The sequence below is a fragment of the Homo sapiens genome, chromosome 1 (genome assembly GCF_000001405.40).
Source record: "Homo sapiens chromosome 1, GRCh38.p14 Primary Assembly".
Classification (NCBI taxonomy): Eukaryota; Metazoa; Chordata; class Mammalia; order Primates; family Hominidae; genus Homo; species Homo sapiens.
The window spans coordinates 75297942-75324577 of NC_000001.11; the positions used below are offsets into that span (position 1 = coordinate 75297942).

General features: G+C 36.3%; 1 protein-coding gene across 13 annotated transcripts in view; it reads right to left on the reverse strand.

The window, feature by feature from the left end:
• SLC44A5 (solute carrier family 44 member 5) overlaps positions 1 to 26636 on the reverse strand; it is a 521887-nt gene that overhangs the window by 95813 nt on the left and 399438 nt on the right. For 10 of the 13 annotated variants that reach the window (XM_047449166.1, XM_017000608.2, NM_001130058.2 and 7 more), the window contains one exon: positions 2671 to 2744. In XM_047449166.1, coding sequence (XP_047305122.1) covers positions 2671 to 2744 — 74 coding nt within the window. Of the gene's footprint in view, positions 1 to 2670; positions 2745 to 13673; positions 13765 to 26636 lie in introns of all 13 variants that reach the window. The other 3 variants (NM_001320287.2, NM_001320285.2, XM_047449167.1) reach the window with 1 other exon arrangement.

Below are 26636 nucleotides of genomic sequence, written 5' to 3' on the forward strand. Positions count from 1 at the left end.
AAAAAAACAAAACAAAACAAAAACAACAACAACAACAACAAAAATGTCTCTTCCATGGAAACACTTCTTTATGAAAAGATCATGGATGAAAGATAAGTCTACAAAGGCACTAATCTAATATAGTTGGCAAAAGACACCAAAATAACTGTAACACATCAGTGAAACTGACAGCATCATATTTGCTCAAATGAAGGTATATATTCTTTCATGGTAAAAAATCCTTAACACTTCTAGTAACCTCTGCCATAGTTTCCCCTCATGCTTCTTTTAGTCCAACATTAGATATAATCAAAGAATTAAGTTTATCTTGAAATGAAGTCAGTAAGGCTATATATAGTTCAGGGATTAAAAAAAAGGTATATATATTTTGTAAACTTTGTGAGTCACTAATTTTAATCAGTGGCACTGGGATTAATCTGGAGACATCACTGAATTAATTTACTACTCAACACAGTTTTTTATTGAGTAACATTTATCTGCCAATTTCCTTATGTGAATTAAGACATTTACAAACTGAATTTGGGGTTCTGGGAAAAAAAGGCAAATTTCTTATCTTGCTCCAGAGAAAATAATGGCATACACTCCTCTGTTTTGTCTACGGAAGAGTGGCAGTGGGTTTTCCCACTCTATATAAGGACACAAAGCATTTTTCTGTGGACTACATTAGACTGGCTTCGAGATACAGAGGAGAGACCTATTTGATGAAGGAATAAGGCCTCCTAGTGGAAAGATTCTGGTCACAGGATGAGATCTTTGTGAAGTTCCTGTGTGCAGTCAAACTTTAATAGACCAAATTATGGGTTGCCATGGAAATAATATTGTAAATTATATTGAAAAGAAATTTATTAAAATTCAGAACAACTCAGTTATACAATGGTAGCAAACAAACTACTACCCAGAACTGTTATGCAGCATTATTGGTACAGTTAGGTATTATTTCATTTACTCCTCACAACAGCCCTGAAAGGCAGGTAATGTTTCCACACTTTCCAGATAAGAAAACTGAGGTTGAGTAAGTAACCCAAGACCATCAAAAAATGCTGAAACTCTAGATGTGCCTGATTCCAAATCTTTCACTTATGTAACACATTTCAATTCTATGATGAAAAGTAAAAACAAACAAAAAATTACACAGATAAGAAAGATGTGTCCCAAAGTGAGAGAAACCAAAATTCTATATTTTGTGTAAGAAAATTTATTTTATTATAATATTTACTCTAGAGATTACATATTGTACTACAACTTCATTAATGTTTAGAAGTTAAAACACTTTAAGAAATAATGAAAGAATGTTCTGAAGTTCTTAGAAGAATATATTTAGCTTTGTGATTTATGCTCCTTTATTTTTCTCTCCCTCCCTATTTTCCTGTCTTAATTTTTTGAATTCTCTAATTCTGTGTAGCTTTTGCATGGCAATATTGAGATTATCTTTTGGAAATGACTTTCAGTTGGTGTTCTCAAAGTATTTCTCTTATTGGAAGATAAAACTGAAGAGCAGGGAAAAATGTTTTTCATTGTTCTCCAGTTAGGATATAACTTTCTTTCTGCTAATACATTCTATCCACATTGACTCCATGCCATTAATTATTGGTACTAGCTAATATCTGACTTTCACAACTTTCACCCTAATAATAACATATTAAAGTTTCCTAAGTCAGAATTTAAGGGACAGAACCTATGTCTCTGGGGAAAAAGAAGTTTGATCCATTCATATACAATTGTGAAACCTTCTTACAGAAAATATTCACACTAGTCCCTTTGGTAGTTGTTTAAAAAAAATCCAAATGGGCCAGGCACAGTAGCTCATGCCTGTAATCCCAGCACTTTGGGAGGCCGAGGGGGGCAGATCATGAGGTCAGGAGATCAAGACCATCCTGGCCAACATGGTGAAACCTTGTCTCTACTAAAAAAAAAAAATACAAAAATTAGCTGGGCATGGTAGTGCATGCCTGTAATCCCAGCTACTCGGGAGGCTGAGACAGGAGAATCATTTGAACCAGGGAGTTGGAGGTTGCAGTGAGCTGAGATTGCGCCGCTGCACTCCAGCCTGGGAACACAGTGAGACTCTGTCTCAAAAAAAAAAAAAAAAAAAAAAAAAAATTTCAAATAAAGAGTCTCCATACTTCTCTTATTTTCACTTTCATAGAAAAATCTTTAACCTAACAATAAATAACAGAGTATATCTTTGCTAGCTATCACTTGGGCAAAGAGACTAGAACTTTTTGTATGTCAATGAATTATCTGGTGAAATTCGTAATAATTGTTCCTTCTTTTTAATTTGCTTATAAAAAGAAAAGTTTATATATTTAGTATTACCTAAAAAGATCTAGGCCCTAGTTCTTATTAGCAAAGAACAACATGAACATAATTAGTTGCTTATTAGAATTTCAAAAGTAACAATGATTAAAAAGAAACCACAAACTTTTCTCTTTCTGCTTTATAATTGTATTTACTTAAGTAATTTGGGCTTGCCTTTGACTAAACTGTTTTATGTTCATTTTTTATTGTCTGCTACCCGATAAATCCTGGTGAGGCACATTTCCTCCAGGAAAGACAACAGTCAATAATAGGAAGGCTTTTGGAAGACAATAATTAATTTTTTATATGTGACACTGACTTAGTTATTCCATTAGCAAGTGTTAAATATTTTCTATACCTGTATTTACTCACCCACAAGTCCTAAAACAATGTAGCCAATAATACACAGTAGGAAGATCATACAGCACAGAACATCTGTACAACTCCTAAAGACAAAAAAAGAAATAAATAATTAAAAGAGGTCCCAAATGACTTCCTGTTTCCTGCACAAAATGAAGGAAGAGAGAAAAAGATAGTAATAGTGAGATGTTATTTCATAATTGCATATTTTATTCAATAATTTTGAAAGGTAGATCAGATGTATTTCTGCAAAGACATTAGCAGCCGTGGAGGGGCCATAGTTCCATGATTAATGAATATCCCTCAGAACTCTTAGTATTTGTTCTCTCTTATTTATTTGTAAAATATTTTTAAAGATTAGAGTATGCCAACATCAGATAGCCATTTTTTATTTGAAATTGTAATATAAGCTATTTGATTTTATGATTTTCTTCTTCATGCCTCCTTCACACATGGTATAAAATAGCCATTTCCCACCCTCTTCTTCTTCATTTTCTTCATACACATTATAGGGGTACTATTATTAGATAAAGGATTGACTACATTAACTTTCTATGGAGAACTGAGTTGTAACTATTCCAGGAACAAGGTATATAAAGCATTAAAAATAAAATGCCTCAAAAGTATAAGTTTTCTAGCTATTTCTGTAAGCTACACATTGTAAATGTAGGTTTAGAGGAAATCTGACTCACAGAGAGTCAGTGATTTGCTAAAGGTCAGAAGCCCAGCCAGGATCCAGCAGGGATACTCAAGGTTTTCAACTAAAGTATTTTCTATTCCCAATATTACATCTTGTTCAGCTTATAAGTGGTTTGGAAGGTCAAAGGTATGGCTTGAAAGTGAGCAGCAATACTGTCATTCTTTATTTGAAACTTAATGAGGACTCCGTTAGTAAAGAAAAAGATCAGCTCATTTGACAGAATTAAAAGTTGCACATGAGAATTTTCATAGTAAAAGTTATTGATCTTGAGGGCATACAGATATGCCCTAATCTTTTAGCACAGGCAGGTTGAAGTTACACACTTATTTTTTGAAGTGGTAAGTAATGAATAATAATGGCACAGTAACAAACACACATTGATAAAGCCTGTTATACTTGTATTACTTTCAGAAACATAACCTTGAGAGATTCCTAAGAATATCTTTAGGCTATTATGGGTAGTAAAGTGAGTTCGCTTACTTAAGGTACGTGAAAGAGGTTCTTAAAGAAGGGGGCAAATATCTAGATCTCCAACGCCAAACCTTTTTCACTTATGAGTTATGTTAATATGATTGTAATTTTCTGCAAGGTTTTAAAATAGCTACATCTAAAATCAATTACACACATTCCTGTAATTCTTTACCTTGGAATAGGAAATGGATCTTTCATAGAGAAAGTTAACTGGTGGGCAAACCAGCAACAAACTGTCATTTGTTTAAATCTAGTTTCAACCCAGGAATTTTTAATTTCATTTGAATTTAAGAATTATGAGAATAATAACAAGAGAAGAAAGCAGGTGCTCTAGTTTTTTTGTTTTTTTTTTTTTTTTTTTTTTTTGGTTAACAACCATTGTAAGCAAAAACACGCTTGGGTGTGAGCAGGGTATCTGTTTCACCTGCATTCTTACGTATCCTTCTTAATATTAGATTCTCAGTCTGTCAGAGCAGTTGTTACATACCTCAACACCGAATAGAAAATGCATACAGGTAAGAAACTCAGAGAGAAAAAACTAGAGCATAGATGTGCTTTAATTAGAAATCTTGCATTTTTCAAAGCCCTGGTGTGTAATCATAACTACCAGGAAGCTGGAGAGAGGGATATAATCAGAAGCACCAGCCAGGGTGGCCTGCCATCCCGTCCTTATATATCTATAATGTTATATGTTTGTATCATTTCTAATAATACATAATATAACACATACAGTAGTCTCCCCTTATTCGCAAGGGAGGCATTCTAAGACCCCTAGTGAATGCCTGAACTGCGGATGGCCCCAAACCCTGTATTTTGTTTTTTCCTATACATGCAGACCTATGATAAAGTTTACTTTATAAATTAAGCACAATGAAGAAGTTAACAATAACTAATAATAAAATAGAAAAATTATAACAATATGCCGCATCACTACTCCTGTGCTTTGGAGCCATTATAAAGTAAAATCAGGGTTACTTGAACACAAGCACTGCGATACTGAGACAGTTGATCTGACAAGCAAGATGGCTAGCAAGTGGCAAAAGGGCAGGCAGGTTAGGTGGCCTGGATAACGTGGATACAGTGGACAAAGAGATGATTCACATGCTGGGTGGGACAGAGTTTGATGGCATGAGATTTTATCCTGCTATTCAGAACAGTGGGCAATTTAAGACATAAATTATTTATTTCTATAATTTTCTATTTCATATTTTCTGTGCATCACGGATGGCCACAGATGACCTCGGATAACTGAAACCTCAGAAAGCAAAACTTCAAATAAGGGAGAACAACTGTATTCATAATGACTCTATGTTACATACTATTATAAGGTTTTGTATTTATAATGCTACATAGTCAATGCAAGTAGAGGTAAACATCTAGGAAGATCAATGAAAGAAACTTAACAGTTTCAAAGAACAGAGCACAAGGACAGAAGCAGAAGCGGATCCCAAATGGAAGGTTTTTGTTTGTTTGTTTGTTTTTTGAGCCGGAGTCTTGCTCTGTCACCCAGGCTGGAGTGCAGTGGCGCAATCTCAGCTCACTGCAACCTCCGACTCCCTGGTTCAAGCAATTCTCCTGCCTCAGCCTCCCAAGCAACTGGAACTACAGGCATATGCCACCATGCCCGGCTAATTTTTGTATTTTTAGTAGAGACAGGGTTTCACCATATTGGCCAGGCTGGTTTCGAACTCCTGACCTCGTGATCCACCCACCTTGGCCTCCCAAAATGCTGGGATTACGGGCGTGAGCCACCGCACCCGGCGGAAGTTTTTTAAAAAGTAAAACCAACACTCTTTCACTACTTGCACTAATGAATTAGCATCAGTTGGTGTTTTGGTTCTATATAGGGTTTTACACTATAATTTATTTTTTATTCTTTGGTGCCAAGGAAACACTAAAGCATCAGGAACTACCCTGTCCCCACCCAACTATTTCCCCAGCAGTCTCTCACCACAATGGGACAGCATTTCTCAATAATTCACACCTTAAGGTGTTTGGAGATTCTATTCTGGGGCCAGGGAAAATAATATATTAAAGTCTGCTGGGAGAGGGGAGGGATAGCATTAGAAGATATACCTAATGTAAATGACGAGTTAATGGGTGCAGCACACCAACATGGCGCATGTATACATATGTAACAAACCTGCAGGTTGTGCACATGTACCCTAGAACTTAAAGTATAATAATTAAAAAAATATATCTCAGTAGAAGATCTAATTACATAGTGATTGCTTTATCCCTTAAACAAAACAAATTTGTATGGAATGCTTACTATATGCATACAAATAAAGGATATAAATATCCAAAAAAAAAAGTCTGCTTTGTTTTTCTGGTACACTGCTTTAGAGAAATGGCAGACCATACCCTATGGCCAGACTGGTTAATTTTGTCTTACTTAACCAGAGAAGGTGGTTGAACAAAAACCAAGAACTCAAATCTCCCCAGTAGTAGACATTAGTATTTCTAAATTTGTTTCTGTAGCAACTTGATTCACTTTATTGTTTTAGAAAAATTTTTAAATAGGTGTGTGTGTGTGTGTGTGTGTGTGTGTGTGTACTTTCAGGTAATTATAATTACCTGCTATTTTTTCCATTAATTTATCTGCTTCTCTCCCTTTCCTCAGATATATTCTCTCTAAAAATATAATTAGTGCTTAGAAAGTTACCGGAAAATTGAATGTGAACAAATCAAAATATAGCTTGGGCACCATTTTGTGAGTCAAGGAAAGTAGCAGAAACTCAATTCAAATGTGTTAGACGTTGTAGTGCCTTATCATTGTTTCTTTATTTTGATTTCAGAGCATCTGTCACAATCCTAAATGTTCTATAGGAAATGAGTTCTTTTTTTAAGAAAAAATAAGGTTTTAATTGGGATAGTTCTCAGAACTCTTTAGACAGCTATTGAGATAACTGGGTGATCTAAGCTCATGGCTGAAAATTATTCTGAATCATATTCTAGCTACAGGCTTGTCATAACTGGACTTTTTCCTTAGGTGGATTCATTTTTACTTTCACAGCAAGCACTATGAACCATTGTACTAAGTTAAAAATGGGTTGCTTCCCACTGGGTCCCAGAAAGAAGACAGAAAGAATAGTTACAGAGACAGTTGCCCAACTCTCTCCCTCACCCTCCCTCCAAATCAAAGTCCCGCTTTCTCAAAACAAGCTGCCCACACCCCCATTTATCACAGAGCCACTCAAAACTTTACTCAGATTGTGTTTCTCTGGCATAAAAGTGTTTTCAAAAGTTAAACTACAGAACTACTATTGCTACCTTATATCTATTTTCCAAATTAAAAGAATAAGAATAGGATTCCAATTACATGTGCATGTGCAGACTTCCCTTTCCTCCTACCTCTAATCCACAAATATTGTATGCCTATAATCACCCAGACTTAAAGTGTTGGGAGTTGTCTTTGACTTTCCCTTTTTGTTAGCTTATCTTTTATATTCAATTGACAAGTTCTCTTGACTCCTTTTCTCTGATGTGTCTTTCATCCACCCCTTTCTTTCTATTGATGTTGCCTGGACTTAGTCCAGGGTTTTTAATCCTCTCTTCAGACTATTGCCGTGGTCTCTTAATTGGGATTTTGCAAGTAGTTTCTGCCTGATCCAATTCGGTCTGCACATCACTGATATTACTGATATGTGATGAGTCAGTTTACTGTTTAAAAAATTGCAGGACCTCTCCATTACCTATTTAATAGTTTTCAAATATCTTCACTTCATGTTTAAGGACCAAGATCAATCCTAATTCAAGCCCCAGGCTACCTTTCTAGCTGTATCTCCCATTATTCCTTCTTAATGTGTTTTAACCAATTTGGACTTTTTCACACAATGATACACAGCCCTTGGGCACACTCAGAGCTCTCTGCTCATAGCACCTCTAGACTCCCCCTCCTGGGATAACCATATGTCCCAATTTGCATGGGATAGCCAGGGTTTACACCTCTTTCCCTAGAATAACCGTTAACAATGTTTCCATTTACTCTCAAAAAAGCTCCAGTGTGGATCGCCACATTCTATACTAAAATCCTATCCTTCAAGTCAGCTGAAATGTCACCTCCTTCTTGAAGTTTTCAACTAGAAGAGCTCTCTCTAATCCCCGTAGACCTAGGGAACTTTTGTTTGTATCTTTAAGGCAACTATATTTAATCTATTATAGCCTAGATCAAGGGCAGCAAACTACAGTGTATGGGCCAAATCTGGTTTGCTGTCTGTTTTTGTACAGCCTGTGAGCTAAGAATAGTTTTTACAATTTCTAAACAATTTTTTAAAAATCAAAGGAATAATATTTTGTAACCTAGAAACGTTATGTAAAATTCAAACTTGCATTCATAAGTAAAGATTTTTGGAAAACAGCAATACTAATATATGTATATCGTCTAAGGCTACTTTCTTTTGCTACAATGGCTTAGTAGTTGCATTAGATACCATCTGGCCTGCAAAACCTAAAATATTTACCACCTGGACATTTATAGAAAAAGTTTACTGACCTCTGACCTAGACCATAAAGTCCTCTATTGCAGCATTTAGCAGAGTCTTGCATGCTACAGACATGCAACAATCTATGTCCCGTGAATTATTAGTGAGATGCACCCTTCACTGACAGTCTAATGCATCATAAACAGGGCCTGGTAAAAATCAAAATGCTGTGTTTCAAATTTCAGATCTTTTTTATTTTTTGTAGTGAATATGTTGCTTAGAGATTCAAATTTTTGGTCAAGCTTAAACATGCTATCTGGACATTGCTATCTCCAGTAAAATAAATCACTAAAAAACAAATGCAAACAAAAAAAAAACCAATTAGATTTAATTTAGAGGTAATAAGAGAGTTTTGTTTGATAAGTGCATATTTTGGTTTCACACTAGCTCTTATTCTCCAACAACTGTCATTTTGCTTCCTTTTCAGGGACAGCTTTCTACTCTCATCCAGAAACTGATTCATTTACTGGTTTCCTTTCTTTTTTTTTTTTTTTTTTTGAGACGGAGTCTTGCTCTGTGGCCCAGGCGGGAGTGCAGTGGAGCAATCTCGGCTCACTGCAAGCTCCGCCTCCCGGGTTCACGCCATTCTCCTGCCTCAGCCTCCCGAGTAGCTGGGACTACAGGCGCCCGCCATCACGCCCGGCTAATTTTTTTTGTATTTTTTTAGTAGAGACGGGGTTTCACCGTGTTAGCCAGGATGGTCTCGATCTCCTGACCTCGTGATCCACCCGCCTCGGCCTCCCAAAGTGCTGGGATTACAAGCGTGAGCCACCGCGCCCGGCCGGTTTCCTTTCTTTGTGGCAGATGAAATTCCAATGATATCAACCATCCTGAAAGGTCATTAATATCAAGCATTAGAGTGAGAACAGAAGTCCTAAAAGTCATTATTCTCTGACAGATCATCCGTTTGTGCCTAATGAATCAGTTTAGGGACTGTCCACTGCCTGTGATTCCAGTCGGATGCTCACCTCTCATTTGAAAATTGTTGGTGTCACCTGGGTACATCTGTCTACAACATGGCTGCATTTATAACCCAAAGTCTAGAAGCATTGGTCCTCTGTGGTTCTGTTGGCACCTGAATGATGCCATTCAGTCATCTGTTACTGCTCTGATTCTTACCACAAAAGTCTGTCCCAGGAAGCAGAATGAATGCTTCACTTCCCACAGGCTTTATTAGAGGATAATGCACTTTGGGGCCATCTTTCAAGCTTCACTGAGATACGTTTGGCAAACTGCAGACCATGCTGTGAATTAGATCATCTGAGTTGCTACTAGTCAGTGTCAGCTGGACTCTATTTTGAAGTATTTAGGAGTAGAGATCCATGTAAGTTAAAAATATTTTCCCTTTTTTCCCCTACTTCTCACGAATAATAGAGAATCTGGTGATTTTTGAGAGGGACATCCTCTAAGAGCTTGCGTTTGAAAGCATTAATTGTATCCACCCCCTTGGTTCCAGTTTCTCTTCTTCCCACATACATTGTCTGACAGTTCTTTGTTGTTCTGTTCCCCAATCCACAGCTTGAGGTTATGCCGCACACCATTCTTTGTGTATGTGAGAGCTGAGATTTTATTAGAAGGCAAGTTACACTGGCTGTTTCTATAAGAGGTTAAAGATTATCTTGAAGAATTTCGCTCTGTTACTGAAATCAGAAACCTCATAGAAAGGCACAAATGAGCTTTTAATTACATGAACCTGTATTTTCAGGTGTTTGATATTAATACAAGTTTTTTAAGCGCCCTAAAAAATTTTAAAGATGACTTTAAATTTACATTTACCTTTGAAGATAATCCTGGCATCCAACCATTGAGAAAGAAGTGTTGGTTTTGTAGGATTATTATTTTTAACACATTTTAAACTGTTGTTTAAAAACAAAATGTACCAAATGACTCAATACCCTATGAAAAAACAGTATAATATTGATAATATCTTTCAAATGTATTAGGTTATATAAGATAACATTTAAGTATTGTAGCTGCTTTAGTTAGTTCTTCTGAGTAATTAGATCTTAAAAGCTTCTCTATCTTCTGATTAGTCTTCTATTCTAAACTGCTTGCATTTGGGTTTCCATTGCCTTGAGAGAATAGCTTTAACTGGCTGTGATTTATATTTTCATTTGTAAAGAGAATTGAAACCTGATTTTTTTTTTTTTACAAAGAGGAGTTTAAGTGATGCCTGTATAAAAGTGTCTTTTGTTTGAAAGGGGGCAAGATAAGACAAAATTGGTTTTACGATGTAATTATCATGTGTGTAAAACTTGTATAATATTCAGTAATCTGTCAGTAGGTGGAAACCACTCTGCAAATGCTAATAAAGTGAAAGCGAGATCACAGTTACTGCTTATATTACAGGTGGGGCATTGTAGACCAAAGGCACTACACAGCAGGGTGCAAAGAGACCTAGCTCTAGATAGCTTTGGGACATTAGTCCAAAGTCATCAACAAAGGTTGAAGGGAATTCATATCTGTTTGGAACACTTTTTAATCTTTTTGGAATAAGTTAGAATCTATGTAGACACAGAGTAGTGCTAAAAAATGTTTGTTAAAACAATGAATGAACTTCCGGAAATTCTCATTCAGCTATTAAAATAGAAAACTGCATGTCTCCTAATAATCATATGATAATCTTTTTTAGTAATTAAAAGCATACACATTAAAGTGAGGAGATTACTATTTGTCACCTCAAATTTTAATAAGTAAATAAAAAATATTGCCTGATGATGATAGGGGACTTAGAAAATTGCAAGCCCTTTGACCCAGTAATTTTCTTTTTAGTAATTTATACCATGGGCATAATTATAGATGTAGTAAAAATTTATTTATAAAGATTGAAAACACTGCACTGTTTATAATAAAGAAAAGTTGAAAACAACTTTTAGAACAATATTTAATTATATGAAAAAATGTTTTAGGCTGGCATAGCGGCTCATGCCTGTAATTCCAACACTTTGGGAAGCTAAGTTGGGGGGATTACTTAAAGCTAGGAGTTTGAAACCAGCCTGGGCAACACAGTGAGACCTGGTCTCCATAAAACATTTTAAAAATCAGCTGCATGTGGTGGCATGTGCCTATAGTCTCAGCTTCTTGGGAACTTGAGCTCACGAGTTCACTGTTGGAGTGAGCTATGAATGTGCCACTGCACTCCATCCTAGGAAACAGAGCGAGACCATTGCCTCTAAAAAAAATTTTTCAAATAATTTTTAAAAATAATAAAAAGGAAAACAAGATTTCTCTATTATAAGCATATTTTACTTATTGGTTTTGGCAATTATTTCAGTCCTCAAAGAAAAGCAGTAAATACAACATGCCATATTTGACATAAATAACAGCAAACATTATACAAGTATGCTATTGGTAAACTTTAGTATGAATGGGAGGTTTGCACAGATTTTGGAAAGAAAATTAACAAATCTGTGAAATAGTATAATAAGGAATAGTTATTGCCCTGGGTTGTCCATAGCAAAGAAGCATAGGCATTCGGTACATACCTATTGAATGGATCAATGAAAATATTATCTGAACATTAGACAATATTTTGTAGACATTTTAAAAAACACATAAAATGCTGTATCTCTCCTGTTCTCAAAGTGTTCAGCAAAATGGGAAACTCCAACCATTGTAATGGAAATTTGAATCATTTGGTTAGAGCCCAAAGTAGTACGAAAATTCTTTTTTGTGAATATTTGCCAACCTATTTTATCTACAGGCTGGTTATACTATAACACAGCATTACTAGTAACAATAGGGTCATTATTATTAGCAAAAGTAAAAGACAAACTTTGTAGAGGTTTTAAGATAAAACTAAATATTCCCTAAATGTTTATTTGAAATTATAATCTCCATGTAATAAAGTTTAAATTTGTACCTAGGTGATGTATCTGTTAAGAATTTGCTTGGCTGAAAATACCAGGAAACTTAAAGCCAGAAATGTGGTTTAAATTTCAAGGAATTTATTTGTTAAATACAACAGGAAGTGCTGCAGTTGGCAGTCCTGAGCTGGGGTGGTGCATCATCCAGGGATGCCATTAGGGACTTGACTCATTTCATCCTTCCACCCCTCTCATTCTTAGCTTGTAGACATTTGTCTTCATGTTTATGCCTCATGTCACAAGTTGACTGCTGCACTCAAGACACCTGAATCTCTTCAAAGAGTCTTTGTTTTTTTATTTAGGGAAGAAAGTCCCTCCTGGCAGTCTTTCTCTTTAGCTCATTGGCTATTCCTGTGTCTCATGACCATCCCTACCTGGAAGGTGCTTTAAAAAAGTGTTTTGCTTTTCAGCTTCTCTACTAGCGGACACAAGAGAAAATATGATTTGGAATGCATGTTGAGTGAGACAAATTACAGAATATATCACAGCTACTACTGAGATTTATTTTAAACAATTACAAAAAATAAGATTTTCCCATTCTAATAATTTCAAGTCAACCCAAATGGATTGTGCAAATAATATGGGCTTTTTGCAACTATTATTAAATACTAAATAGAAATATAAAACTGAATATTATATATTTTCACAGAATTCAAGTAAGTTAAACTGAGATTTGTTTCCCAGCAAAACCATGTTCTAGAGCTGATATCAGTAACAGCAAAATAGCAAGTAGTTAGATTTTAACTCTGAATAATTTTATATCTTATATTCAATTGTTTATATAATTCTTGACATTCATATTCAGTGAAATGGAATTTTAAATTTAAATTTAGCCATAGTAAATATATACATTTACAGTTGTCATTACATTGAGTATTAAAATATAAATTTTTAAAGTTAATATATATGCATATATATTTAAATCATTAGACATAAAATGTATCACAAACTGTACTAGTCTCTTTCATTTTAACATAAGATATTCAAAATAGCATCTTTTTTTTTTTTCTTTTTGAGATGGAGTCTCTCTCTGTCACCCAAGTTGGAGTGCATTGGCACGATCTCGGCTCACTGCAACCTCCGTTTCCCAGGTTCAAGCGATTCTCCTGCCTCAGCCTCCCGAGTAGCTGGGATTACAGGCACTCACCACCACACCTGGCTAATTTTTGTATTTTTAGTAGAGACGGGGTTTCACCATGTTGGCCACGCTGGTCTCGAACTCCTGACTTCAGGTGATCTGCTGGGCTTGGCCTCCCAAAGTGCTGGGATTACAGGCGTGAGCCACCGCATCCAGCCCTCAAAATAGCATCTTAATGTTGGGAATGAGTCATTAGGCAATCTATACTTAATTTTGTCCAGAGTGGTCTCAGTTCTCTTACAACAAAGCACTACAATTCAACTTACATAACAGGTACCAGCTCCTACTAATATCCTCTTTTCTGCCATTCTGAAATATGGCCTTCAAAGACTCTAATTTCATGATTAATGAGGTACCTATTTTGTGCCGGATACTGTGGCAGATGCTATGAAACGTTGGTGAACCACACAGATGAGATGCTTTCTCTCACGGAGTTCCCAGTTTAGTCTGGGGAACAGATAATAAATAAGTAACGATCAATCAATAAAATGATGACAGATTGTGTAACTGCTAGGGAAAAAAACATGATTCTATGAGGGAAAATATTAAGGATGGCCTGCATATAGAGGGTTCATAAGGAAGGGGTCTCTGAAGTGGTTGTAGGACTTGTATTTCAGGCAGAAGAAACAGCAAATGCAAAGGCCCTGAGGGCAGGTGAGACCAGGGTATGTCCTGGGAGCTGACAGATAGCCAGTGATATGGTTTGGCTGTGTCCCCAACCCAAACTTCATCTTGAATTGTAGTTCCCACAATTCCCACATGTTGATGAGGGGGGCTGGTGGGAGATAGTTGAATCATGGGGGCAGTTTCCCCCATACTGTCCTCATGGTAATGAGTAAGTCTCATGAGATCTGATGGTTTTATAAGGGGAAACCCCTTTCACTTGGCTCTCATTCTCTTTCTTCCCTGCCACCATGTAAGATGTGACTTACTCCTCCTTGCCTTCCACCATGATTGTGAAGCCTCCCCAGCTATGTGGAACGGAGTCAATTAAACCTCTTTCCTTCATAATTCCCCAGTCTCGGGTATGTCTTTATTAATAGCATGAGAACAGACTAATACAGCCAGTGTGGATGCAACAGGGGAGAAAGGGATAGAGCAGCTGCTATAGTTTGAATGTGTCCCCCAAGGTTCATGTGTTGGAAACTTAATCTCCAATGCAACAGTTCTGAGAGGTGAGATCTTTGAGAGGTGATTAGTTTCTGCCCTGATGAATGGAGTCTCAGGAGTGAGTTCTATATCTGGGGCGGGGATGGGGGGTGTTACAGAAGCGAGTTTGGTTCTTTCCTGTCCTTCTTCTGTGGCATATGTGATGCCTTCTGTCATGTTTTGATGTAGCCCCTCGATCTTGGACTTCCCACACTCCAGAACTATGTGCCAAACAAATTTCTATTCTATTATATATTAATATATAATAATATGTATAATCTATTCATTATTATATATATAGCAGCACAAAACATGCTAGGGCAACAGCACAACAGGTGGTTGGTACAATTAAGTGACTGAATAGCCCTCAGTGTGGAGGAGCGTGGACTTTTCTGTCAGGGGAGTTCACTCGCAACATTTCATATGTTAAAGGACTTGACAGTTCATGACTCACCTTGAAATATACTATCTCATTTGGATGATTACAAGTTGTAAAGTTGATATGAGAGCTGTTATTAATACATCACTTTACAAATTAAGTCACTCCTGATTACAATTTCAGTTCATTTTCTATTGGAAGTTCTTGAATAGGGGGAGTAATAAAACAAAAGTTCTATCTCAGTTAGATTTATCTTGACCAGGATGCAGAATGAATTGGGATGAAGTGTGTGGTGAATGCGGTGTGGTAGCAACACAGAAGAGAATGAAACCAGGGCCAGTTCTGTTTCATCTTCATCATCAGCCTCCCACACATGTCTGTTTTCCCGGGTACCAGGAATACTGTGAAAATAAATGTCAGAGCATGGGAGAGTTTTCAGCTCCAAAAAGATGCCTCATGGGTTGAAATGGATATGAATGGATTTCTCTCTAACGGTTTTTAACACAGAGGGAAGAAACGATGGTTATGGATCATTTCAGCACCAGATCCTATATTTGTCTCTCTGACAGTTTTCAAAGTAAACTATTTCACTTTTTTATTACATCAACTTGATAAAAGCATATTTTCTCTAAGTTCTTGGAGATCAAAGATCATATTTTTCAGTTTTCTGCTGTGAATGTAGTTAGCTGGCATCTGTCTTTTCTGTAATGGACATAAGGGGTTGTTGCTGTATTGTTGGCTTTAGTCCCTGAGGATCAAAAAAGAGCTGGCCTTGACTGCTCCTGGATGTGGACTGTCCATTATGAACAATACACATGACAACTTACTGAACTGTGTTGTTTCTAGGTCTTGTCAACTGTATTTAAGGGAGCAAAGACAGAGTAAAAGCAAGGAGGGAAAGAGGATAAAAGTGACATCTAGAAGCAAGACAAAACCAAGATAGAAATAAGCTGAAAAGGGATTTAAAGAAGAAAGAAAATGAGAGGAAGCAGTAGGGCTCCTGATGAAAATCCGAAGTTATTAAAGATTGAGAAAGAAAAAGGCAAAAGAGAATAAATCAGAAAAACAAGATCAAGAAAAATGCAGAAAACTATTTGTGGTTATATGGAAAGGAAAATAAAAGTTGTACAGTGAAGGAAGCTTGCTAACATCTGTTTGAATCTGGAGAAAATATAAAAGCAGATACATATCCTAGTGTAAAAGTAGTAGCTTATGTGCATGAGAAAGCAGATAATAAGGTGAATGATGATATTAATTTCCCTTAAATGTATTTAATTTCTCTATTTTTACTTTATAGTTTAAATAATCCTAACAGTCAGATACACTAGAGAAAAGTTTAAAGACGTTGGTCTTTATTGTTCTCCTCCTTTAAACATTTACAGTTTATTCCTTTCTAATACAACAACTGTTTGTCAGCTACCAAAAAGCCACTTAACAGACTCATGCATCTCTTTGTCTCCCCCTTTACTAGACTTAGAGAATTTACCTCAACTCAGTGTCTGTGCAGCCTGGTCCCGGTACGGTAACAGAACGACCTGTAATCCAATGCTATCTTGCATGGACAATAAAAAACACGCCAGCATCATCTTTCATATTTTGATGTAAAAAGCATGTGAAATCTATGTTTTATTATTAAAAGCTCCAAGACTTGCAGACTTTCACATTTGCTTCATCTTTCAGTTACTGGAAAAATGTGCCAAAGTGTGTGGAGAAGCAGTCTATCTTTAGACTTTCATTGATGCTAGGGTTGCAGTAGTGGCAATAACAATAGGTGAGATACAACTTAAAGACTTAAGAAGGCCATAGTGAAATATGCCCAGCACATAAAGAATTTCAATTTACCTTAAGTAATGCAAGTATTTAGAATGGTAACTGGGACTCCTAGGCTCTATTCTCAGGAGATCAGCATCAAATAACTCTGAACCATCCCTGATTCTTGATCATCACTTTTATTGAGCTCAATGCTTTTCAGAATTTAGATCTATCAAATTTGATTTTAAATTTGGGCAGCAAATTAATATGATTGCTTTGTTTTAGTTAGTGTTCACTAAGAGTTTTCCTAGAAGAATAAAGTATTAATTTTAGGTAGTTGAACTGCAGATTTTAGTCATTCTGTCTCATCATGCTGCAAAGAGAAAGGAAGAATATACTAGAATACAGTCTCTTATCTGGGCTTGAGCCTTAAGGCAAAGATTTGCCTTGAGAATCACAATCTGGGAATTTAGATTCTATCTACAATTAACACCTGGCAAGTCTCTCAACTCCCCACTTACCACCACAAAGCAATTGTTTCTATCCACAACAGAGCTGCAGGATTATTTATGCAGTATTTGTAAAGCACGTAGAACTCCTCATAGAAAAAGTTGAGTTAGGAGTATATGTCCATTTATGTGTGTTTTAAAAAGAAGAAAGGGAAACAGAAAACTGAAACTTTGACATGGATTGGATTATAAATTATTACCATCATTATTTATACATCTATATACAAAAGCTTAAAAATAAAAAGCTTTAGGGCACAAATAAGTTTGCACCAGTCTATAAAGTCTTTGGTTTTCTAACCTCTAAGGTCTAAATTATCCCAATAATATTTAATATTGGTTAATTTTACTAGGCAGAACACCACAATATATGGTATAATTTTAGTATGCCCCCAAACATGAATTTCCCAGGAAATCATAATTATTAGCACTCCATCCTTGTAATCATCCCGTCTGGTCTTCTAGAAAAACCCTCTCACATGCACTGTCTTTCATCTCTTCTGCTCCTCCTCAATCTTCCTTGTGGACTGTTCTGTCTCTACCTGTGTCTTAATGTTTGCCTAAACCTCAGGGCTTTCTCATGATCTTCTAATTCTATCTGTTAATCTAAAGTAATCTCATCTATACCATAGTTTCCAAGACTTTAGCCATGATAATAACCCTAACCTTTCTCCTGAGTGCCAGCTTACTTTTAAATTTTCAAATGTTCCAAATCGAACTTACTACTTCTCTGTGAGGTCCCAGATTTTCTCTCTTCTCCTTAACTATCTCTGCCCGCCGCTCACTCTTTCATCCAAGCTAAAAATTCTGCCATTCTTGACTCTTCTCTCTTATCCTCCACATTTAGTTGTCTGACAAGCCCTGCTGATTCTCCATCCTACAATGTTCTGTTTCTTTCCCTCCAATCTCATTGCTACTTTCTAGGTTGAAGCCTCATCATCTCTTATATCTGGAGTGATAGCACAGCCTCCAGACAGCGTCTTGCCCTTTTTGGCCCCTAATCCACATTTTATACAATACATAACTTGACATATAAATCCACTAGTCAAAACATTTTGAGACTTTCAATTGCTTACAAAATAAAATCCAGATTTCTTAGTCTGGCCCTTGCTAAGCTGCTCAAAATTACTTTTTATCTTCCGTCCACTCTCACATACAACCTTTGCATTCCCAAAATCTTAGTGGCTTTTTATCTTGATGAACCATATGCATTTGATGTATTTTACCTGTTTTTGACATTTAAAAATGGCAATTTCATATGGCTCAACTAATAATGGCTATCTGCCTTGAAAGCTCTCTCACCCTTAAAACTTGTTAAAACATCATCAACACCCAGCTTAAATGTTACCACCTCTGTGAAGCCAGCTTAAATGTTACCACCTCTGTGAAGCAATCATTTGCCACACTAGGTTAAAGAGCAGTTCCCTCTTTGATGCTCCCTTACCTCTGGCATAACACTGTGTTCTAATTATTTGTACCTACTTGTCTCTATCATTTGAATACGGGAAACTTCAGGGTAGAACTTGGAACTTAATTAACTCTATATCTTTACTTCTATAATCAGTAGTTAATAAATATTTGTTAGATAAATGAATGGACTTCTTTCGAATTTGTTATACAAAGGAGCTGGTAAAATTTTTGGTTAAAAGTAGAAGGAGGGTTAGTATTCTGATTTAACATATTTTACAATGCTTCTTTTCTCATTTTATATCACCTTCTCCCTTTGCTTCTTACTGGGTAATGTATTTGTTCTTACCAGATGGATTTAATATGGCTATGAAAGAAATGCTTATTCACTACCAGGGCACATGGCCACAGTAAGTCTTGATGTGCATATATAACCCACATGAATGCAAATGTGTAAGGTTGAGCCAGCAAAATCCCAGAAGGCAGCAAACAAGATTAGGCAGCAATCAGAGGGCAAATCATTTCTAGGCAATATCAGATTGTTTTTGATAACATTTGAACCAAAATTCTTTTCAAAAGGAAAATCCCAAGAACAATAGAAATAGAAGAGATGAAGTTTGTAGAAAACTTCAAGTGAGCACTTAGGATATTGCATATTTTAAAAGTACGATTTTAAACCAAGAGACTATGTATGTTCCAATCTTTCAATCATCTCTGATACCAGGAAAGTGTCATTTAACATGGACTGATCTAGGTGCAGACAAGAGGTGCAAGATCACAGCAGGTCAGTGAAAGACGCAGCATCAGGGCCACAGCCGGACTTAGACTTAAGAAGGACTTAAACCAGGACCGAGGCTCTGCCTCAGCCAGTTTCCCCACACATGAGTGAGAAGGGAATAGGAATTTTTAATGCCAGAGACATAGTGTTCTGATTCCTACATATTACTGGTTGCTGGAATAGATAAAAATTAGTTAGAAAATTAAATGTAGCAAATTCCTTAGTTGGGTTCAGTCGCTTATTCTCAATGTTTTTGTGGTTTCATGAAATCCCTTTCACACACAATTAAAGACAGGTTCTTAAGAAAGATACACAATTTAAAAGCACTATTCTGGTGGGTGGGCAGAGTGAACATCCTAGATGTCTTAACCAACTCAGGCTGCTATAACAAAATACCATAGGCTAGTTGGTTTAAATAACAGCCATTTGTTTCTGACAGTTCTGGGGGCTGTGAAGTCTGAGATCAGTGTGCCTGCATGGTCAGGTTCTGGTGAGGGGCTTCTTTTCTGATTTACAGCTGCTTCCTTCTTGCTCCATCCTCACATCACAGAGAAAGAGCACTAGCTCTCTGGTTTCTTCTTATAAGGTCACTAATCCCATCAGTAGGACCCACCCTTATGGCCTTCTCTAAACCTAAGTACCTCCAAAGGCCCCACCTCCAAATACGATCACCTTGGGGATTAAGGCTCCAACATACAAATTCTGGGGGACACAAACCTTCAGTCCATTACACCAGGTAAGTAGCATTTCTCCTAGTGTAGTCAGAATAGAACCTACTCTCATTTGGGTGTGCCATCCCTCTTGCATACAGTAAACCTCTTTTAAAAGATACAGTTGAAGTTGGTCATTTAAATCTGCTCTATAGGGCTGAGCTCAGTGGCTCATGCCTGTAATTCCAGCAACTTGGGAGGCCAAGGTGGGAGGATCACTTGAGGCCATAGTTTCAAAATCAGTCTGGGCAACACAGTGAGACCTTCGTCTCTACACAAATAAAAACATTAGTCACACAGGGTCACGCACACCTGTAGTCCTAGCTACTTGGGAGGCTGAGGTGGGAGGATTGCTTGAGTTGAAGCGTTCGAGGCTACAGTGAGTGATGATTGTGCCATTGCACTCCAGCCTGGGCAAAATCCCATCTCTTGAAAGAAAGAAAGAAAGAAAGAAAGAAAGAAAGAAAGAAAGAAAGAAAGAAAGAAAGAAAGAAATCTGCTGTATAGATGTATAGATAAAAGTGAAATATTAAGTATTTTACTTTTGTTAGTATATTTTTAATTTTAAGCCAGATGATCTGCTTTATTTTATGCAAAAGCACAGATCAGTAAGTCAGATAAAAATGCAGTTCTATGACAAGTTCATATAGGAACTTGAGGATTCATGTCCTTGAATCTTGGGATAAACAAAATCTCAGAAGAGGCAAAAGAATGACACATAAGCCAGGTTAACTTACATTGTCCTCTGGCTTTCAATGTGGAAGCATTACCCTTGGATAGCTCTTGAATAATCTACTCTAAGCTTCATTTTTGCCAGCACAACTCTTTGTGGCTGCCTTGTTCTGTGGTCTCTTTGGTACTTTTGGCAGCTGTCTTCTATGGAGAACTGAGCACCAGAATAAAATGAAGGGCAAAGCCCTGCTTCCTGTCCTTCAACACCAGTATTTAAAGTTAATCTAGCATTCTTCATTTCAAATATGCAGTTCAAATATCACTCCCAACCCCCCCTGCCAACGCACATCTCCCCAGCTCATATTTTCAAGGCCTTTCTGGATCTGCAAATATGTAAATCTTCAGAGATATGTGCTTAGTTCTCCAAAGCACATCAAGACTATTAAATAATAAGGCCCCAATAAAAATCTAGCTATGCTGACATTTAGATGACAAGCTGGTAAACAGTACATTATGTTGATTTTTATTTAGCTCCATATGATTCTGTAAAGACTTTTGTGTGCTTTGCGATACATTAATATTTGTACAAAAGAAAAGTACAATCTTTCCTTCCTTTCCCTACCCCCAATCCCTGGGCAAAAACATTCTCTCTGAATATATGACTAGCTTACAGGAAATAGCATTTGTTGTAGATGCCATATCAATTCAGATGGTAGAAAAATTTATAAACATAATCCCAGGATAATAGGTTGAATTTGTTATAAAACTTTTGAAGTTTGATTTTATTTGCAGCATGGACCTCAATAATAGATAGCTCTCAATCTGTTTATTCCCAGAAGTGATACTGAAAGGTGAACAATTCTTAACTTTATTAAAATGTTTTTATTATAGATATATTTATATCATTATCAGTTGTTCTAAAGACAGTGAAAGAAAAAGATCTTAAGTCCAAGACCCAAGTTCTGCCTTTTTTTCTCCTGAACTATATTCTGTAAACCCCACAAGAGGCAAGACTATGACGGCATTTCTGCCTTTCTACTATCATCATTCTGGCGAGGAGAACAGACAAAAATATGTGTGTTTAACTATAATGAAGGGTTATAGTTTGGATTGTCTTAGCATGGATCACAGGGAATAGAATGTATAATGATCATATATCATGAGTAGCTCAGCAGAAGGCTTTCAAAATATAACAGATAAAATAAAAATGTATCCTAGAAGAGGAAAAAAATAGACTTAAGTAAAGGAAACAGAGGATAAAATACCTAACTGTTGAAAATGCTGTGAAATATTCTTATTTCATTTTCCTAAGTTTGTTAAATGCTTGGCTTTTGTACGTGAATTGGAAAATCTGTTCTCTACTTCCCCAGTCTCCTACTCTGCACCATCTTCACTCTGATCCTTTTCAAATCTTACAGACCTTCCTAGCCTAAAGAAGAGATAATTACTCAAAAACATAAAAATGTGTTTATTATACATAATTCAAATATTCTGGGAAGTCAAGAATGTAGGACGTCTAAGCTTATAGTGTAATATGGTTTACACAGAAGCGTACATTTAAATTTAGTAAAAGCTACCTACCAGCTGCCTCAAAGAAAACCAGATCTTTGAAAAAATAATAGAGAATGGTATCAAACTATATCTGACTAGGCAAAAAAGAAAATCCATAAAAGCAATCAAAGAAATTTATGAAAGGAAAAATGAACAACAAAAGATAAGGAAGTTGATCATAGAAATCCTAGAAATAAAAAATATTTTGAAAGGGGGATTTTATAATTAATTTGCCCTGTAGCAAATATTAGAGCTATGTGATAGATGTTTAAATACAACACACCATTTATTTGCAAAAAAACCAAATGCCTATGTATTGTACTCTAAAAGGCTTAGCATAACGAAAAGAAAAAACCAAAGATATATACATATTGTGCCTTGTAAGTTAAGGGAGGTCAAGTTCATTCTATATGCCTAAGGATATAAGTTTGTCATTAAGTTATAGTCCAAAGGGTTGAATATTAATGGTTGCTACCTTTCCTTAATGGGAGGATTATTTTGAATGACATATATTTGTCAAATAATAAGGATCATTTAATTATATGTATGTCCTCCTAACTGCTTAACATTAAAGAGGTACGTGACCTAAATCATAGTTTTGGTTAGATAACTTTGTACCTGAGGTTCCCTTCCTGTCCAATTACCAAGCAAGCTTTTCAAATGCACTGAAAGATTTAATTCATAAAGCCCTTAAGAGCCTTCTGGTAAAAGGTTGAAGCAGCACAAATAAGCTACTGATACATGACCGTGTTTCAGAAAATCATGCCAGGACTCTAAGCAAGTGTGCTTATTTATCATTGTTGAATTGCTACAGTAAGGCAAAAAAAATTCCCGAGCAATATGAATATATTTATTATAAATATGTAGGAGAAAATGCAAATTACACTTTAGTATCATAATATTAAGATGTTTATTTATAACTTTATGACATTAGAGAAAGCATTTGTTGCTCAGAAATCTTTGTCTATATATAACTACAGGTCTCTAATTTTATGAGAGAAAGGTTACTTGCCTATATTTATTGGCATTTTGTCAGTTCCAAAGCTGCTTCCACATTTTTAGGTATTTATTATAGCAGCAATCCACTTCTCAGTACCAATTTATTTCTCTTAGCTCAGGCTGCTATTAACAAACACCACAGACTGAATGGCTTAAACAACAGAAATTTATTTATCACAGTGCTGGAGGCTTGGAAATCAAAGATCAAGGTGCCAGCCAATCTGGTTCCTTATGAGGGCCCTCTTCCTGATTTCTAGATGAATGCCTTCTTGCTGTATTGTTATATGGCAGAGAGAGAGAGAGAGAGAGAGAGAGAGAGATCATCCCTATTGTCTCTTCTTACAAGGGCACTAATCCCATTCCTGAGGTCACCACCCTTGTGATTTAATCACATCCCAAAGGCCTTTACCTCCAAGCACCATCACACTGAGGATTGGGGTTTCAACACGTATATTTTGGGGGACACAAACATTCAGTTTATAGCAGAGATTCATCAAAATATAATGAAGCAGATAAAATATTCAACAATCCATTCATAGTGCCTGATTTATAAGTTTATTTCCACATGTATTTTAAAAATCATGCTTTATATAAATGATAATTTAGTATTAGCGACTTTTTCCTTTTAAATTTCACCAAAAAATATTTGATTCATCTTTAACACCCATGTCTTTGTCATTACTAGGTTTCTTAGTCCAATTGTTCAGAGTATGTCAGTTTCAATTCTAAATTGTCTGAGATGCAAACTTTTTTGAATCCATTGATGAACTTCCATGGGAAATTCAATTCCAAACTTCCCATTTGTTATCTCCACAATGTAACTACTTCTTGCATTGCTTTAAAAATTGATCTTTAAAAGGATTGTTTACAGGCCAGGTGTGGTGGCTCACGTCTGGAATTCCAGCACTTCGGGAGGCTGAGGCAGGATTACTTGAGGTCAGGAGTTTGAGACCAGCCTGGCCAAAATGGCAAAACTCCATCTCTACAAAAAAATATAAAAATTAGCCTGGTGTGGTGGCACATGCCTGTAGTCCCAGCTACTCTGGAGGTTGAGGCAGGAGAATGGCTTGAACCCAGAAGGTGGAGGTTGCAGTGAGCTGAGATTGTGCCCCTGTACTGCAGTCTGGGCAACAGAGCGAGACTCCATCTCAAAAAAAGAGCATGGTTTACAATGACATCCAATATTGCTACAGCCAAAAGTAACCAATACATCCTTATTATTTGCTCCCTCTTTTTAAAAAAAAAAAATCTCATTTCATCTGATGGTCTGTAATGATTTCAAATTAGCACGGTGATCATTATATGCTGGTGTGTCTTCCCCCAAATATTAATTAACTCTTCTAGATAAAGGAATTGAGAGAAAACTCAGTAATTTAGGAGACATTCTTAGGACTCCAGAAGTACTCAGCAACCAGAGGACATTAGACATTTGACATAATTTTGAGGCAAATCTTGGATTTAGAACCAGTCTCAACTTCCATTATCCTTTTCCTCCACCCATGGGATAGATACGGATTTCCTTTCACTCTCAGCTTGCTTCCTCACTCAGCAAAAACAAACAAACAAACAAACAAACAAAACACTGCACGGACAGATGTACTTGAAAATGATTTTGGAGAAATACAGGAGAAAGAACTCTACACTCATAACCTAGACCTGGATTCCAACCTTGTCTTTGCCACCAAGTCACCAGGTAATTGTGACTAAGCTTTTTCATGTTTTTAGCACTCTGTTTCTCATCCGAAAATAGGAGACTGAACCAAATAAACTCTAATGTTCTTTTTTTATTATTATTATACTTTAAGTTTTAGGGTACATGTGCACATTGTGCAGGTTAGTTACATATGTATACATGTGCCATGCTGGTGCGCTGCACCCACTAACTCGTCATCTAGCATTAGGTATATCTCCCAATGCTATCCCTCCCGCCTCCCCCCACCCCACAACAGTCCCCAGAGTGTGATGTTCCCCTTCCTGTGTCCATGTGTTCTCATTGTTCAATTCCCACCTATGAGTGAGAATATGCGGTGTTTGGTTTTTTGTTCTTGCGATAGTTTACTGAGAATGATGATTTCCAATTTCATCCATGTCCCTACAAAGGACATGAACTCATCATTTTTTATGGCTGCATAGTGTTCCATGGTGTATATGTGCCACATTTTCTTAATCCAGTCTATCATTGTTGGACATTTGGGTTGGTTCCAAGTCTTTGCTATTGTGAGTAATGCCGCAATAAACATACGTGTGCATGTGTCTTTATAGCAGCATGATTTATAGTCCTTTGGGTATATACCCAGTAATGGGATGGCTGGGTCAAATGGTATTACCAGTTCTAGATCCCTGAGGAATCGCCACACTGACTTCCACAATGGCTTCCACAATGGTTGAACTAGTTTACAGTCCCACCAACAGTGTAAAAGTGTTCCTATTCTTTGCAAAGTAAATGAATCATTATTATAATTCTATTTCAACAAAAGTATTAAATGATACTAATTCTTTTAAATTCTATGGTTGAATGTAATGAGTAATTAAATATGTTTCGCTAATTCTTCCTATTTCTACTTCTGCTACCTTAGGTTTTGGCTTTACAGCTCAGTTGCTTAACATGTTAACATCTATGTTTATCTCTAAAGTTTATCTCTAAAGTCTTTTTAAAGAATCAACTAAGCTTATTTTGGGTTAAAAAATGGCTATTGAGCTCATTCAGCATACTAGTATTTCAAAGCAACCAACAACTGCCATTTCCATTACCTACTTTTCATGTTAGGCTAAGAAGAGTAAAATTTACTGATGTTTTTCTAACCCCAGCTTCCCTACTGTGCACAATGAATAGTTAAGCAGAACATTTTCATTTCTAACTCTAGCCGTGAAGATTTCCCACCACTGTGACACAGAAGGATGCACACTTAAAGACAATACATTTATTTAGTGGATATGAACGTCTTTTGACTAGAAAAAGAAATAACAATCATCTGCAGTACTTTAAATAGCAAACATCTGTTTTTCCCAACATACTTCAAACACTTTGAATTTCCTGATTAGTTGTTATATGAGAACTGTATTTCTGAAAGACATAATGAGGCAGTTTAGAGATGAGCTTAAATGATCTTCAAAGCAAAGTGAAGAAAAATGCTCATGCTCTGGGTAAGGATGGTTAAGCCAGATCCACCATAACAGGAACAAATAAGAAATAATTCTTTCAACTATTTGCATTTAAACTGAAAGTTCTATTAAGTATTGCAAGCAAAGGAGGATGATATAAATGAGCAAAGCATAGAGAAATGAAAATATAGCACTATGGTCTTATATCATAGCAACAAAATCCATGATGCTATTAAAGCAATCTGTGCTTGACTAAGCTAAACATAAAAATATTTGAAGTAATGACATGAAGCATTTTTGTGAGTATTACACAA